The sequence below is a fragment of the Homo sapiens genome, chromosome 18 (assembly GCF_000001405.40).
Source record: "Homo sapiens chromosome 18, GRCh38.p14 Primary Assembly".
Taxonomy (NCBI): Eukaryota; Metazoa; Chordata; class Mammalia; order Primates; family Hominidae; genus Homo; species Homo sapiens.
Window position 1 is genome coordinate 8,223,118 of NC_000018.10, and position 17,037 is coordinate 8,240,154.

Genomic DNA, 17,037 nt, shown 5'->3' on the forward strand with positions numbered 1-17,037 from the left:
AGAGGCTTAGGCAGGATAATTGCTTGAACCTGGGAGGTGGAGATTACAGTGAGCCACGATCGCACCACTGCACTCCAGCCTGGGAGACAGAGCGGGACTCTGTCTCAAAAATAAATAAATAAGTAATAAATAAAAACTGGTTGACTAATTATAAATAAACTGAAATGCATAGCCATGTGGTAGTAATTCTAAGAGTCAAGAGTTAATTCTTGTGTCTTATCAAAATGAAATGTTAAGGAAACATCAAGTCAGTGGCCTAAAGTTGGATAGATTAACAAAAGGCTTTTCTATTTTCTGTTCATCTAAGTCAACCTCAAATATTACAGATATTTTTTAAAGAACTACTTATTTTTAAAGGACTAAGAATTATTTTCAAAGAAGTATGTCTTCAAGCATCATGAGCAGAATGAAAGGCCGAATGCTCTCCTTGTGACAAAGTGAGTGGACAGACCCATCCGCAGTGCAGCATGCCTATCACCAGCCACCAGCGCAGTCCAAAGTTACATGATTGAAAAAGAAATTTGCACCTGATTGAAGATGCTTTGGGCTCAGTTTTGCTGTCCTCTCCCCACAGAAGTCTAAGCTGTTCAGACTGCTCAAGATAACACTTCACACAGTTTAGGAATTGTGGTTTATGTCGAACGCCAATCTATATCAGCTTTCATAACATTTAATATGGTGGGGGGAGTGATAGGTGTTTGAGAAATTAAGCAAAACCATAAATTTTCTCTTGGTATGTATAGTATATACAAGGAGAGCTTTCGAGTACCTTCTTCCTAGTGTTCTCTCTTAACTCTTGATGTGAGTGAAAAGCTTCATCCATTGCATGACACAGACTAGGTCATTGTGTTTGAATTCCTTGGGTTGGGGAGAAGTATGGTAGAGTCTTTCTCCTCACTTCAGAAATCAAAAGAAAGTACAGTACCTGCTTGGTAGGTATTCCTTGAAAGTTGCCAGCACTTTTGGCTAGACAGCTCCCAGATAAGCAGATGGCTTCTTTAATGATGAAACCCCACTTTTCTACAATGCTAATTAGTTAGAGAAAGATAATTTGAAAGTCTGCTGTACATTGCAGGAAATGTCTTTTGTGTCTGTGTCATTTGCTTCTAAGAATCATGCAACTGCCACCTGAGTAGGCTCCAGTTTTCTCTTTTTATTTAAATCTTGTGACTCTTCAATCACAAGAAAAGGGGAAAGACAGTCAATGAGGAAAAGGAGAACCCTCTTTCAGGATGAAACACTCAATTACAAGTGCAGCTATATTTCTGTTTTCAAAAATCAGCCTTATTGTTATGTTTTGAACTATACATTTGGAACAGTCTCTTCAGTGGCTTCATATGGCGTGTGCATCTCAATTCATTTCTCTACAGATTGCCATTGAGACTTGGAAAAACCAGATTGCCCATTTGAAAGCTGGTTCTGACTCAGCTTGTCAAGCCAGCCATCCTGGTCAGAATGTATTGGGGAAAAAAATGAATAAAAGTAACAGAGACCTGGATTTTTATTCTGATCCCACACTTGATTCATTTGTGACCCAGGGCAAGTCACATAACCTTTTATATATGATTCCTTATTTGTTATGTGGCATAATATGGTTCATCCCTACCTTACTTATTTGTTGAATAAACCCTTCATCCTGTAGAATTCCCCCACATTCCAAACTCACTGATGCATTCTTATGCTGTCATTTAACGCGTCCCTCAGTTATCTGGACTTGCTGTGAACTGGGGCTAGCACTAGAGGATTAATTGATTCAACTTTCTTATTTTGGTAAGAATTTTTCATAAGTAGTGTTCTGTACTTCCTCTTGCATTACATTAGGAAGCATATAAGGCTGAACTTGATTAGCGAGTTGCAGTTTTGCCAACCTCATCCATCCATTTTAAAGTTCCACATCAGCCCTTCACTTAATGGTTTTTTAAGCTACTGGTGATGATTGCCTGATACATTATTTTATTAGGGATTTCAAAATGGTGACATCTTAATTCTGTCATTCCTTCTGTATTTATTAAGTGTCATTCTCTACTCACCTGCTAGGTTACTGTGAAATGCAGTTCATATAGGAAACTCAAGATAAATGTCTGAAGTTTATTCTTCTTATTTACCAATTTCAGAATGAGTTGGTGCCTTAGGATTTTGTAAGATGACCAGTAGTGTCATTATCAGTGATTTTAACATATGTGATATGTTTGAATATTTTAGAGTAATTACTGTTTGGATGTTCAGAGTATCTCACCTTTGGCCAATAGGAGTTCATTCAAGTTGTCTCTTGTATTTTTTTTTTTAACATAACCCCAAAACTTTGGAGAGCTTCTGGTACAACAGGATGTTCTTAGCTCATCTTCTGTATTGTCTGCCCCATGGCTGGAATCAGTCATTTCTCTAATAAACCCTGGTTTCTTTTACTGGAAAATGGCATTTAGAGACCACAATCTGACCACAAGGGGAGCTCATTGAAGTGGGTCAGCCGTTGCTTCTAGGCTCACATCAGCCACTTTCACCATCGGTAGCCCTGCTGTCTGCTTACCTGACATGCCAGCAGCTAACTCATCCCCTTTGTCTGTGTTCACTAAGCAGAGAAAGACCATTGGTAAATAGTGAAATATAAGAGAATATCTTTATGACCTCAGGGTAGGGAACGTCCTAAAATCATAATAGACTTAATTGATACATTTGAGTATATCAAAATTATAAATTTCTGTATACCAAAAGATAACCATAAACAAAATTTCAAACAAGCTATAGATTAGGAGAAAACATTTCTAATACTTATATGTCAAAGTATCAGTAGCCTAAATATAATGAATTTGTAGACATCAACAAACAATAACAACCCAATAGAAAAAGGGATATAATATATAAACAGACAACTACAGAGTAGGAATATAGGCTGAATAACATTTGAAAAGATGTGAAACCTCACATATAATCAAGTATATGCAAATCAACAAATTATAAGATGCCATCTTTTCACCCATCAGATTGAGGAACGTTTCTGTAACAGATAGCAAATGTTGGCAAATGTGTGGTTAAAAAAAAAATGCATCACTCCGTTAACATAACACAACTTTGGTGATGCTTTTGAGACTTCATTTTAATTTTTGAAAAAGCAATCCCTTCTGTTCCCCATCATTCCCACCTAGCCCCCAATATCCCCCCCACACACATACATACAAACACAAATAAATAGCATGTAAAGGCCAAATCGTTTGCTTTCTACATTCTTATTAACAAGTAAGAACCTTTCACTACCAGTATACTCAAGTTCTGCAATATAGCTAGTTCATCTTGAGATCTATATCTGTGAAACAAGAAATTCAGAATCAGATCTAAAGATTTTTAAAGTGTGATTTTTATATTTTTCCTAGGAGAAAAAGGCATTTTTTACAATAAAGTGACAGTTGTTTAGGATAAATTAATAAGAAAATGTAGGCCCTTGTTGGGAAGAATTGTTGATAGATGGGTGTTTTAGAAAAGCCAAATGGTTAGTCAAATGACCACAGAAATGCCTGTAGGAAATAAAATATTAAAATTCTGAACACTGTTTGATTATATGCCTTGTATTAGTTTCCTGTTCCTGCTGTAAATAAATTCCTACAAACCTAGTGGCTTAAAGCAAAATAATTATCTTATAGTTGAGTAGGTTAGAAGTCTGACACAGGTTTTGCTTGGCTAAAGTCAAGGTGTCAGCAGGGCTGTGTTCCTTTCTGGGACTCTAAGAGAGAATTCATTTCCTGGCCTTTTTTCCACTTCTGGAGACTACCCGCATTCCTTGGCTTGTGGCCCCTTCCTCATCTCCAAAGGCAGGAAGGGTGGGTTGAGTGCTCCTCACACCCATCATTCTGACCTGCTGTTTTGCCTCTTAAGGTGTCATGTGATAACACTGGCCCACTTGGATAATTTAGGATAATCTTCCTTTTTTAAAGTTAGCTTATTAGCAACCTCAATTCCAACCACAGCTTTAATTTCATTTTGCCAAGTAATGTACCAGATTGGTGCAAAAGTAATTGCGACTTTTGTCGTTACTTTTAATGGCAAAACCACAATTACTTATGCACCAACCTAATAAAATATATTCACAGGTTTCGAGATTAGTAGGTGGATGCCTTCAGGAGACCATTCTGCCCAGTGAATGGGATCTGGGCCCTCCAAAAAGAGACATCCTTTTCTGGGTTATCATTCATGCACCTGAAGCAACCTCTTTTAGTTACTGCTTTCCATGCCAGTTGCCAGGGCTCCTGAACAAACAGGAAGTATTTACTCACACATAAATTAATCAGCATCTATGTTTTTAACTTGGAATAGAAAGGTTTTTTAAAAAAAATTTTCATCCTTTGTGTTTATGAGATGCTTGGATACTTAATTCTGCACATCCAAGGGATCACTTGGATTTTATGAAGTCAGTGCTTAAAGTGGGATCCAGAATATGCAATTTTATCAGGCCCCCATTGTCCTATGTGCAGACATCAGTGGCTTGCCTTGTTTCTATTACATAGAGACATTCCAGAATTTTTTAGCGAGTTTAACAAACATCATCAAGAGGAAAGTGGAGGTAGTGTTCCAATATGACATGCATTAAAAATTCTTCTCTTTCTCACTTATATTTATAGTCTGATAGAGGATCAACAGTATACCAATTTAATCTTGCTGCAGAGTGACATTTTTGAAACCATTAAATTTCCAGATAATGTGCACATGTGGAATTCAGCAGCATAAGCCAGCTGTGAGTGGGGACCCACTATCACTAATGTCACTTGATTCCCATCTTGCTTGACTATGGATTGTACCAGTTTCATATTTCTTGCACTGTCACCGGTTCCAGCCCCTCTGGATTCATATTGCTGTGATGTGAGAAATAAAACTAAACAAAATATTACTAAGGATGACAGATACTACATCTATTATTTTTATGGCTGACTTATTTCAGTGTTTAAAAATCTTCGGTTGGTTTGGGGAATGGCGTTAGGCGCTCACGTGAGCTGTGGGTTACTCCCAAGTGGAGGGTGTTGTTTCAGGAGGGATCTATTTGCAGGTGGATATTGGAGGGCAGAATGCCTCTTATGTGCAGGTCTTGCCACACTGTGTGTTCAGAGGAGCCCAGCTGAAGACACGGTGGAACTGATCTGTATGGGGCACTCCTGCTCCAGGCCCAGGGACTGATAGAAAATGAGAGGGAAAGGAGGAAACAGAGCTCACAAGTTTTTCCTTGGTGGGAACGATATCTAAGGGACTTAGGGAAGGTGCCCCAGCCAGATATATAATGAGAGACAGTGATGATTAAGTGCATTTCAAGATCGACCCAAAGGCTTTTTTCCAGGGCTGTTATATTGTCATATGAATAACATTAAATTCAAGTTATAAATGAAGTTGTTTTAAAATATGTGTATATGTGTGTGTATATGTATTTATATTCCTCTTTATCATTTAGAAAAAATCAGAAATAGGCTGGGTGTGGTGGCTCACACCTGTAATCCCAGCACTTTGGGAGGCGAGGCAGGTGGATCACGAGGTCAGGAGATCGATACCATCCTGGCCAACATGGTGAAACCCAAACTCTACTAAAAAAAAAAAAAAAAAATACAAAAATTAGCCAGGTGTGGTGGCATACGCCTGTAGTCCCAGCTACTTGGGAGGCTGAGGCAGGAGAATCGCTTGAACCTGGGAGGTGGAGGTTGCAGTGAGCCGAGATCACACCACCGCACTCCAGCCTGGCGACACAGCAAGACTCCGTCTCAAAAGAAAAGAAAAAGAAAAAGAAAAATTCAGAAATTAAAATATATATACCTATGAAGTGGTTAGGTGTTTTCAACTTCCAAGGTCTTTTTCTTTCAACAACTTGAAAAGTGGTAGACCATAGGATCAAGCCATGAAATGTGAGAGTCGTCACCAAGCCCTGAGCTGGAACCTTCAGGATCATTAGACATGCATCAGTCAGTGTCCGTCTGTCTGTCTGTCATGCCTCTCTCTTATGCACGATTATGTTTATCATATATTTTTTATGATCAGGAAGTAAGGTATTAAGATTAATCAGACAAGCAGAATAAGAACAAACAAATGTTTGGTGAGCGCCTACCACATGCCAGGCACTTTCTAACAGGAGATGTTAGAACAGAAGAGGCATAAAGCCCTGTCCTCACCCAGCTGGCACGTGATGTTTGCCCAGGAGCATAGTAAAATACCTGTTGGCTAAGAACAAAAACAGTGGCTTCCAAGTACGTAAGGATAATGCTTACTAACCAGAGATTCTTTTGAAATTAAAGAGTAGGAAAATGTTTCCTTTTGATCCATTGAACACTCTACAGTTAGAAAACTTTAGGTACTCGTGCCCTCTCCAGAAAGCAGCAGGCTCTTTTCTTAATTTTTTAGTTCTGAAAATAAAAATTATTTAACATATAAGGATATTGGGTGTATTTTTTATCTCACATGTTGGTTTAGCATATGATTCCTTGAATTTTGTTGCCATAAATAACATCATCATGATTCTTTTGTTTATTGTAATTTAATTATCATCTCAGAGTCATGCAAGACATTTGTGTCATGGTTTTGAGGTGATCATAGATACATGTAATTTCAACTTGTTTTAAAAGAAAGCCAATCTTTTCCAAATATTTGATTTTCAACTTGTAAGTTTGAGAAAGACTAATTTTTATTATATTTGTATAATATGACTATTATTTGAACCTCTTCAACATGAAGTACACATGGTTATATATATATGTGTGTATACACACATGTACCAAGAGATCCTGACAGTTACTTGCTGAAGAGATCCACACACCTCTTTGCTTCTTTTGCTCTGGTGCAAGTTCATTTGCAGACACCTTTCCTCACCAGTGACTCATCGTGTGGTGTTGTTACCACTAGGTCATCTGAAATAAAGTTGTAGCCTAAAGCGATATGTGAATAAAACCCATACCCGTTTCTCACTTGGTGAGGTAGGAAGATACATATCCAAGTCCTTCTGTCTGGTTTCTTTTTAGCCTATCAGCCTTTCTAAGAGTCCTTCAGTCTGTCATTTGATATAACCCCATGGTGTAAAGAGGTGAACTCTACAACAGAGGCCCAACAAAGATAAAAACCCTGACTTGTCTTAAAAAAAACTGTTTTTTTGTGATAAATGTATGTCTGTTAACTAGTGAATGAAGAACAGAGAGTGGCTGGGTAGGTAGTGTGTGCCATAGTTTGTTGTCTCTAGAGTGGGCTTCTTAAGTGATGATACAGTTAGCGATGTTAGAAGAACACTTTCACCTCAGTCAACAGCTATAAAGTCCAAGCTGGGAACTTTATGGACAGTGTCCAGACATAAGCAACCATAAGTGTAGCTAGTGATGCCAATAGATTCCAGATTCCCAGGATCATTTTATCTCAACATGGGAAAATAATGCCAGATGTCTAAAGTTCTCTAGCCATGTGGCCATGGACAGCTTAGCACCACTGTGCCTCAGTTTCCTTCTCTGGAAGATAGGGATAATAATGGCAGTTTCCTCATTGGGCTTTTGTAAGAGTTAAACGAATTAATGAACATAAAGTGCCTGGCATGGCTAATCTGAAGCCCTACATAAATTTTTGTAATTACTATTTTCATGTTGTATTTCTGTCAACTGTTGCAGTGCTGGTTCTTTTGAATTGGAATAATTAAATATCAGACCACTATGTTTCTTTCTTAAAATTTTACCTTTAAATGCAACAGGATCTGCTAATTCTTACAGATCCATCTTTAATGTGACAACCTCTTATTCATTCTGGTTTATTTAAGTGGATCTTGTAATTTGGTATAATATATGCATTGTTTGACTAAACCAATAATAATTTCATCCCTTCTTTAATAAAAAATAAACACTTATTCTTGTTACCAGCTCCTACTGCAGCCCTTAATTAAGTCTAAGCACACACGTAATTGTAGATGCCAGGACCAAAGAGCCATTTACCCTTTCATTCTTAGTTTATATGTGATTTACCTTTCCATGAGTTTTGCTATCCCTGTAGTATTTGAAAAACACCTTTTCTGTGGCCAACAGTGATCTTTGGCTCAGTGCTAATAAGCATTTCCCCAGTGACAATCTGTTGACATAACCTAGCATGGCAGGGTCTATCACAGAGGGTGGGGGTAATCAGGCTCTGGGGAACCATGGCCTGTGACCTTGAATGGCAATAGACCAGGACTGGGAGGAGCATCCATATTGAATCCACTGATACCCATGGCAGACGGGCCCATCCATCCTGCTCCTCTCCCAATTGCCACTCAGTCCAGTTTCAGAGCGGGAAACTGGAGGAGGAGTGATTTCTTCTTCCTTCCAGCCAGGTGGCAATTTGTTCTCCTAGTTGGCAGCAATTTGTCCTGCAGCTCTCCCATAGGACACATTACTGAAGAGTTCATTCTTCACCATGGTTTCTTTATCGGTTGTGATTCATACCCATCATAAACATAATAACTTGCCAAGAGGTTTTTCTTCCATTTCCCTTATTTCCATTTCATACTTTTAAACATTTTTACTGTAGAAAAGAAATACTCAGGAAATAGTAGAGTATAATAACCATTCCTTTAATTTGAATTCAGCGCGCATTTCTCTCCTGTCCTACCTTTATTCTACTTTACAGTTTTTGAGCTATGACAGTTTTTCTCCCTCCAATTATTTTTCTAAACAGTATTGCAATGTTTAATAAACTATTTTTAGAGCAGTTTTTGTTTCACCACATAAGTGAGCAGAAAATACGGAGTTCCCATATAGTTCTAACACCCCCCTGCCAACACACACACACAGTATCCTCATTTATCATAATCCGTGAGGCTCTATTGCCACATCATTATCACCAAAGGCTGTAGTTCACATCAGGGTTCATTCTTCATAATGCACCTACTATGGGTTTGACAACTCTATAATGACAGGCATCCTTCATTATAGTATCATATAAATAAGATCACAGCCTAGAACCTCCTCTGTGCTCTGCCTGTTTATCCCTCCCTTTCCGTTAACCTTTGACAATCACTAATCCTTTTACTGTCTTCATAGTCTTGCCTCTTCCAGAGTGTTATGTAGTTGGAATAATAAAATATTAGGTCAGTGCAAAAGCAATTGCATTTTTTGCCATTATGTAGCCTTTCAGATTGACATCTTTCACTTAGTGACACACGTTTAAGTTTCCTCCATGCCTGTTCATGGCTTCATAGCTTATTCCTTTGTAACACTGAACAATATTCCATTGTCTAAATGTACCACAGTTTAGCCATTCACCTATTGAAGGACAGCTTGGTTTCTTCCAAATTGTCAGTTATGGATAAAGCTATATGAACATCTCTATGGAGGTTTTGTGTGAGCATAAGTTTTCAAATCCTTTGGGTAAATAGCAAGGAGCATAACTGCTGGATCATATGGGAAGAATATGTTAATGTTGTAGGAAACTGACAAACTGTTTTTCTTTTTTTTGAGATGGAGTCTCACTCTGTCACCCAGTGACAGTGCAGTGGTACGATCTTGGCTCACTGCAATGTCCGCCTCCCAGGCTCAAGCCATTCTCCTGCCTCAGCCTCCTAAGTAGCAAGTACCAGAGATGGGGTTTCACCATGTTGGCAAGGCTGGTCTCAAACTCCTGACCTCAAATGATCCACCCACTTTTGTGAAGCTCCCCACGACCCTATATTGGACTGAACAAAAGAGGACGAACGTGGGAATAGAAGACAAAGACAAAAGAGTATATTTGGAAGAAGGGGTCAGGGGGCACCTTGCTTCTAGTGAACAAGGGCCCTGAGCTGTACACAGCCTTCCATATTTATTAGGCAAAAGAGATAGCAAGGAGGGGGGTGGTGGTTGTCAGGTAATTGTCAGTCGGCCATTTGGTTCACAGCAGGCTTGTGAGACTGCATTCCTGGAACAATGGGTACTAGATGTCTCAGGAGATAACTTCAAGGAGTCCCGCACCAGGAAGTGATGGTCCTCAGCAAACCTTTTGGCGACAGGAGCAGTTTGAGTTTGCCCACATCCTGCATTCATGATAAACAGTTTGCTGTTTGATCATATAGCCTCCAGTGGAATGCTGAGCTAGTCACAATCCCTTTGCCGGCACACTACACACCTTGGCCTCCCAGAGTGCTGGGATTACAGGCGTAAGCCACTGTGCCTGGCCCAAACTGTTTTTCAAAGTGGCTATGTCCTTTTGCATTCCTATCAACAATGAATGAGGAGTCTTGTTGCTCTATATTCTTACCAGCAGTTGGTGATGTCAGTGTTTTTTAGATTTTGGCCTTATAACAGATGTGTGGTGGTATCTTGTTGTTCTGATTTGCATTTTCCTTATAACATATGGTGCAGAGCATCTTTTTATATGCTCGTTTGCTATGTGTACATCTTTGGTGAGGCATCAAGGTCTCTGGCCCATTTTTTAATCCCATTGTTTGTGTTCTTATTGTTCAGTTTTAAGAGTTATTTGAACATTATGGATACCAGTTCATTACCAGGTATGTCTTTTACAAATATTTTCTCCAAGTTTATGGCTTCTTTCTTGACAGTGTCTTTCACAGAGCAGGAATTTTTATTGGAAAGATGTCTATCTTATCATTTTTTTTCATGGATTATCCCTTTAATATTTTAACTGAAAAGTCATTGCCATATCCAAGGTCATCTAGATTTTCTCCTATGTTATCTTCTAGGAGTTTCATAGTTTTGCATTTTACATTTAGGTCTATAATCCATTTTGAGTTAATTTTTGTGAAGGGTGTAAGGCCTGTGTCTAGATTCATTTTTCTGCATGTGGATGTCTAGTTGTTCCACCACCATTTGTTGTCCATTGTAGTACCCTTGCTTCTTTGCCAGTTGATCGTATTTATGTAGGTTTCTTTCTGTTCTCTCTCTTCTGTCCTAGTGATCTGTTTGTCTCTTATTTCACCAATACCACACTGTCTTGATTACTGTAGCTTTATAGTAAGTCTGGAAGTCAGGTAGTATCAATCTTCCAACTTTTTTCTAATCAGTATTGTGTTGGCTATTCTGGGTCTTTTGCCTCTCCATATAGAATCAGTTTGTTATTAACCCTAAATAAGTTTCTAGGATTTTGATTAGGATTGCACTGAATCTATAGATCAATTTGGGAAGAATTGACATGTGGACAATATTAAATCTTTCATTTATTTAGTTCTTTGATTTCTTTCATCAGAATTTTACAGTTTTCCTCTATACTTTTTGTACGTATTTGTTAGATTTATGCCTAATTATTTCACTTTTGGAGATGCTAATGTAAATGGTATTACGTCTTTAATGTCAAATTACAGTTGCTCATTGCTGGTATATAGGAAAGTATTGACTTTTGTATATTAACCTGGTATCCTGCAACCTTGCTACATTTGCTTATTAGTACTAGGAGCTAATTTTGTTGGTTCTTTCAGATTTTTTTACACAGACAGTCATGTCATCTGTGAACAAAGAGCGTTTCATTCATTCCTTCTTAACCTGTTGATATTTTCATTTTCTTGTCTTATGGCATTAGCTAACTGAGACTTCCAAGAGGATATTGAAAAGTATTGGTGAGAGAGGACATTCTGGCCTTGATCCTGGTATTTGTGGGAAAGCTTTTATTTTTGCAACATTAAGTATAATATTAGCTATAGCGTTTTAGTAGATCTTTTTTTTATCAAGTTGAGGGGTGTTCCCCTCTATTCCTACTTTGCTGAAAACATTTATCAAGACTGGGTATTGGATTTTGTCAACTCTTTTTCTGCATCTATTAATATGACCATCTGACTTTTCTTCCATAGCCTGTCAATGTGATGGATTGCATTTTTTGAGTTTCAAATGTTGAACCAGCCTCCCATACCTGAAATATATTCTACTTGGCCATGGTGTATAATTATTTTTATAAATTGTTGGATTCAATTTGCTATACTCTGTTGAAGATTTTTGCATCTGTTTTCATGAGAAATTATGGTTTGCAGTTTTCTGTTTCTGTAATGTCTTCAGTTTTGGTATTAGGGAAATGCTGGCCTTTTAGAATGAGCTAGGAAGTATTCTCTATTTATGTTCTGGGAGACATGGTAGAGAATTGGTATGATTGCCTTAAATATTTGGTAGAATTTAACAGTGAAACCATCTGAGCCTGGTACTTCATGTTTTGAAAGGTTATTAATTATTGACTCAATTTTTTAATAGCTATAGGCCTAGTGAGATTGTGTGTTTCTTCTTGTGTGAGTTTTGGCAGATTACACCTTTCAAGGAACTGGTCTATTTCAACCAGGTCATCAAATTTGTAGGTATAGAGTTGTTCGTAATATTCTTTATTATCCTTTTAATGTCCATGGGATCTGTAATAATGTCCCCTCTTTCATTTCTAATATGAGTAATCTGTGTCTTCTTTTTTTTTTTTTTTTTTTTTTTAGCCTGGCTAGAGGTGTATCAATTTTACTAATCTTTTCAACCAGTTTTTAGTTTTGTTAATTTTTTTCTATTGACTTCTTGTTTCTGTTTCATTGATTTCTGCACTAATTTTTTTTTATTTTCTTCTACCTTCTTTAGATTTAATTTTATCTTCTTATTTTAGATTCCGTAGGTGGGAGCTTAGATTATTGGTTTTAGATGTTTCTTTTTGTCTAATATGTGCATCCAGTGCTACAAATTTCACTCTAAGCACCTCTTTTGCTACATACCACAAATTTTGATAAGTTGTATTTTAATTTTCATTTGGTTCAAAATATTTTTTAAATTTCTCTTGAGATTTCTTTTTTGACCTGTGTTTTACTTAACATGCATCTTTTATCTTCCAAGTATTAGGGATTTTTCCAGCCATTTTCATGTTACTGATTTCTAATTTAATTCCATTGTAGTCTAACAGCAGACACCGTATGATTTCTATTCTTTTTAATTTGTTAAGCTGTGTTTAATGGCTCATGATGCGGTCTATCTGGTGAATGTACCCTGTGAACTTGAATATAATGTGTATTCTGCTGCTGGTGGATGAAGGATTCTTAAGATGTCAGTAATATCCAGTTGATTGATGGTGCTCTTGAATTCAGCCATGTCCTTACTGATTTTCTGCCTGCTGAGCTGTCCATTACTGACAGAGGGGTTGAAATCTCCAACTATAGTAGTGGATTCATCTATTTCTCCTTGCAATTCTATCACCTTTTGCCTCATATATTTTGACACTATGGTATAGGTGCATACACGTTAAAAAATTTTATGTCTTCTTGAAGAATTGACCCTTTTATCCTTATGTAATGCTTTTCTTTATCCCTGGTAATTGTTTTTGCTCTAAAGTCTGCTCTGTCTGAATTTAATACAGCTTATTCCAGTTTTCCTTTGATTAGTGTTAGCATGGTACATTTTTCTCCATCTCTTTACTTTTAATCTATGTGTCTTTATATTTAAATAAGTTTCTTGTAGATCATATGTAGTTGAGTTGTGTGTTTTAATCTGATAATCTGCCTTTTAATTGGTTTATTTTTTATTTATTTTTTTGAGATGGGGTCTTGCTATGTTGCCCAGGCTGGAGTGAATTGGTGCAATCTTGGTTCGCTGCAACCTCTGCCTCCTGAGTTCAAGCAATCCTCCCAGCTCAGCCTCCCGAGTATTTGTGACTATGGGTGTGTGCCACTATGTCTGGTTAATTTTTGTATTTTTGGTAGAGACAGGGTTTCACCATGTTGCCCAGGGTGGTCTTGAACCCCTGAGCTCAAGCAGTCCACCTGCCTCTGCTTCCCAAAGTGCTGAGATTATAGGTGTGAGCCACCTAGTGCATAGCCTAACGGGTATATTTAGACTACTGACATTTACATGATTATTGATAACATTGGATATCTTTTTTTATTACTGTTTTCTATTTGTTGCTCTTATTCTTTCTTTGTTCCTGTTCTTTTACTGCCTTTTTTGGTTTTAATGGAGCATTTTATATTATCCCATTTTGTCTTCTTTATTAGTTTAATGTTTTGTTACTTTTTTCAGTGGTTGCCCTAGAGTTCACATATGTTTACAGCTAGTCCAAGTCTACTTTCAAATAACACTGTACCACTTCACAGGTAGTGAAAGTTCTTATAATAGCAAAGTATTCCATTTTCCTCTCCTGTCCCTTATCTTATTGCTGTTACTCATTTCACTTGTCTATAGCTATAATCATCAAATACTTTGTTGCTGTTATTATTTTGAACAAACTTCTTTCTGCTATATCAATTAAGAATTTTAAAAAATGTTTTATTTTACTTTTACTAATTCCTTCTCTCATGTTCTTCCTTTCTCTTTGTAGCTCCAAGTTTCTGATCTATCATTTTTCTTCTCTCTGAAGAACTTTTTAATATTTTGTAGAAGGCAGATCTGCTGGCAACTGATTCCCTCAATTTTTTTTTTTTTTTTTTTTTTTTTTTTTTTCCTGAGACAGAGTTTCGCTCTTGTTGCCCAGGCTGCAGTGCAATGGCACGATCTCAGCTCACTGCAACCTCAACCTCCCGGGTTCAAGCGATTCTCCTGCCTCAGCCTTCTGAGTAGCTGAGATTACAAGCATGCGCCACCATGCCCGGCTAATTGTATTTTTAGTAGAGATGGGGTTTCACCATGTTGGTTAGGCTGGTCTCACACTCCTAACTTCAAGCTATCTGCCCACCTCGGCCTCCCAAAGTGCTGGGATTACAGGTGTGAGCCACCGCACCTGGCCCAGATTCCCTCAATTTGTATTTGAGAAAGTCTTTGTTTTTCCTTCACTTTTGAGGGATAAATTCACAGGACACAGAATTCTAGGTTGGTGGCTTTTTCCTTCAACATAATGAATATTTCACTTCACTTTGTTCTTGTTTGAATGGTTTCTGAGGAGAAGTGCAATGTAATTCTTATCCTCACTCCTCTGTAAGTAACGTGTTTTCCCCCCTTGGATTTTTTTTAAGACTTTATCTTTGTCTGCAATTTGAATATGATATTACTAGGTGTAGATTTTTTGGCATTTATCCTGCTTGGTGTTCTTTGAGCTTCCTGGATCTGTGGTTTCATAAAATTAGAAATCAGTAATAGAAAAATAACTGGAAAAATCCAAAATGTTTGGAAGATAAATGACATGCTTTAAACATTAGTTTTAGGAAATAGTTATTATTGCTTCAAATATTTCTTCTGTTCCTTTCTCCTCCTTCTTGTATTCCCATTACATGTAAGTTACACCTTTTGTAGTTGCCCCATGGTTTTGGGATATTCTGACATTTTGTGTGTTTTTGTTTTTGTTTTTGTCTTTTTTCTCTTTTCAGTTTTGGAGGTTTTTACTGAGATAATCTTCAAGCTCAGAGATTCTTTTCTCAACCATTTCCAGTCTGCTAATGAACTATCACAGGCGTTTTCATTCTGTTACAACGTTTTTTGTCTCTAGCGTTTCTTTTTTGGCTTTCTTAGAATTTCCATCTCTCTGCTTACATTACCTATCTGTTCTTGCATGCTATCTACTTTATCAATTAGACATTAGAGCTCATAGCATACTAATCGTGGTTGTTTTAAATTCCCACTCTGTTAATTCCAACGCCTCTGCCATATCAGAGTCTGGTTTTGTTGTTTGCTCTGTCTCTTCACACTGTTTTGTGTGTTTTTTTTTTTTTTTTTTTTTTTTTTTTTTTTTGCGAAGCTACACATGGTGTATTGAGTAACAGGAACTGTGGTAAATAGGCCTTTAGTAACATGGTGTAAGGTGTGGGGGGAGGGGAGGCACTCTGTAGTCATATGATTAGGTCTTAGTCTATAGTGAACCTGTGCCTCTGGACTGTGGACTTCACAAATACTTCTCATTATTCCTCTCCCCCACCGTTAGTTGGGATAGGATGGCTAACGTGGGATGGAGTTGTATTTCTTCCCCCAGGTCAGTTAGGCTCTGACAAAAGTCTGGCAGGTTAGGTACTGGTAAACATAGCTTCTCTTTTTTTTTTTTAATTTAATTTTATTATTATTATACTTTAAGTTTTAGGGTACATGTGCACAATGTGCAGGTTAGTTACATATGTATACATGTGCCATGCTGGTGTGCTGCACCCATTAACTCGTCATTTAGCATTAGGTATATCTCCTAATGCTATCCCTCCCCCCTCCCCCCACCCCACAAGAGTCCCCAGAGTGTGATGTTCCCCTTCCTGTCTCCATGTGTTCTCATTGTTCATTTCCCACCTATGAGTGAGAATATGCGGTGTTTGGTTTTTTGTTCTTGCGATAGTTTACTGAGAATGATGATTTCCAATTTCATCCATGTCACATAGCTTCTCTTAAGAGCAGGCTTTGTTAAGAACAGAACAAACCTGCTGACTGCTGATGTATTTCAGAGTGGCTACTTACCAGTGCTTCTTGCTGGAGGCCTGAGGGGATTTGTCTCAAATCTTCTCTGTGAAAACCTGGTAGGGTTCCTGGAGGTAAAACTCACAAAACTGTGTGAGCCCCCTTAAAACTAATTCCCCCTGGAGTTTTTACCTCTAAGATGTGTCCACACTGAGCTCCAGCAGTTTGTCAGCTACAGTTTAGGTTTTCCTGGCTAGGTTCTGGCTCTCACAGAGGTTTCTGTTCATGAAGTTCAGCTCCAGTAAGTTGTGATTCTCTGTATTTACCTTTTGGTCTCTCCAATTTGGGGGGCAGTGGTTTGCCCTGTAGCCTCAGTTCTCCAACAAATCTAAGAAAAGTTATTAATTTTCAGTTTTTTCAGCTTTGACTTACTGTTAGGAAAAAGTTATGACTTCCAAACTCCTTTCATGCCAGGCTAGAAACCACCAAGTCCTTTCTTTAAATTTTAATGATCTATTTATAGATATTCGTAAGAACCTTTAATTTAATTACTAAGGGCCTTTGAGATTCATGCAGTGCAAGTTTGGAGATTGGAGATTAAAATATTTTCGGCAAACCATTTGTTGTAAATCAAAATGGAAAATAAATTTACTTGTGTCTTTACATAAGATTGCAAAGAAAATTGTTTCAACTTTAGTTTTCCTACACAAAAGACTTTGTTTCATTAAGTTCACAAAGCTTTTCTGATAGTGTTCCAAGTTTTCACTTGAAAAAAGTAAGGTCTGAAACGGGAGGCTCAAAAGAGGGAGAAAGAAAAAGAGAGAAA

General features: G+C 37.6%; 1 protein-coding gene across 30 annotated transcripts in view, besides 1 other annotated feature; it reads left to right on the forward strand.

Annotated features, from left to right (window-relative positions):
• The window catches only part of PTPRM (protein tyrosine phosphatase receptor type M), an 839,541-nt gene that overhangs the window by 655,802 nt on the left and 166,702 nt on the right, over positions 1-17,037 (forward strand). The gene's annotated exons all lie outside the window — the stretch shown is intronic.
• Positions 9,509-10,331: an enhancer, noted in NCBI's record as "OCT4-NANOG hESC enhancer chr18:8232624-8233446 (GRCh37/hg19 assembly coordinates)". NCBI's record gives its function as "activates a minimal SCP1, AML or CMV promoter by ChIP-STARR-seq in naive H9 embryonic stem cells {active_cell/tissue: H9 hESC(naive)}" and the evidence as "EXISTENCE:reporter gene assay evidence [ECO:0000049][PMID:30033119]".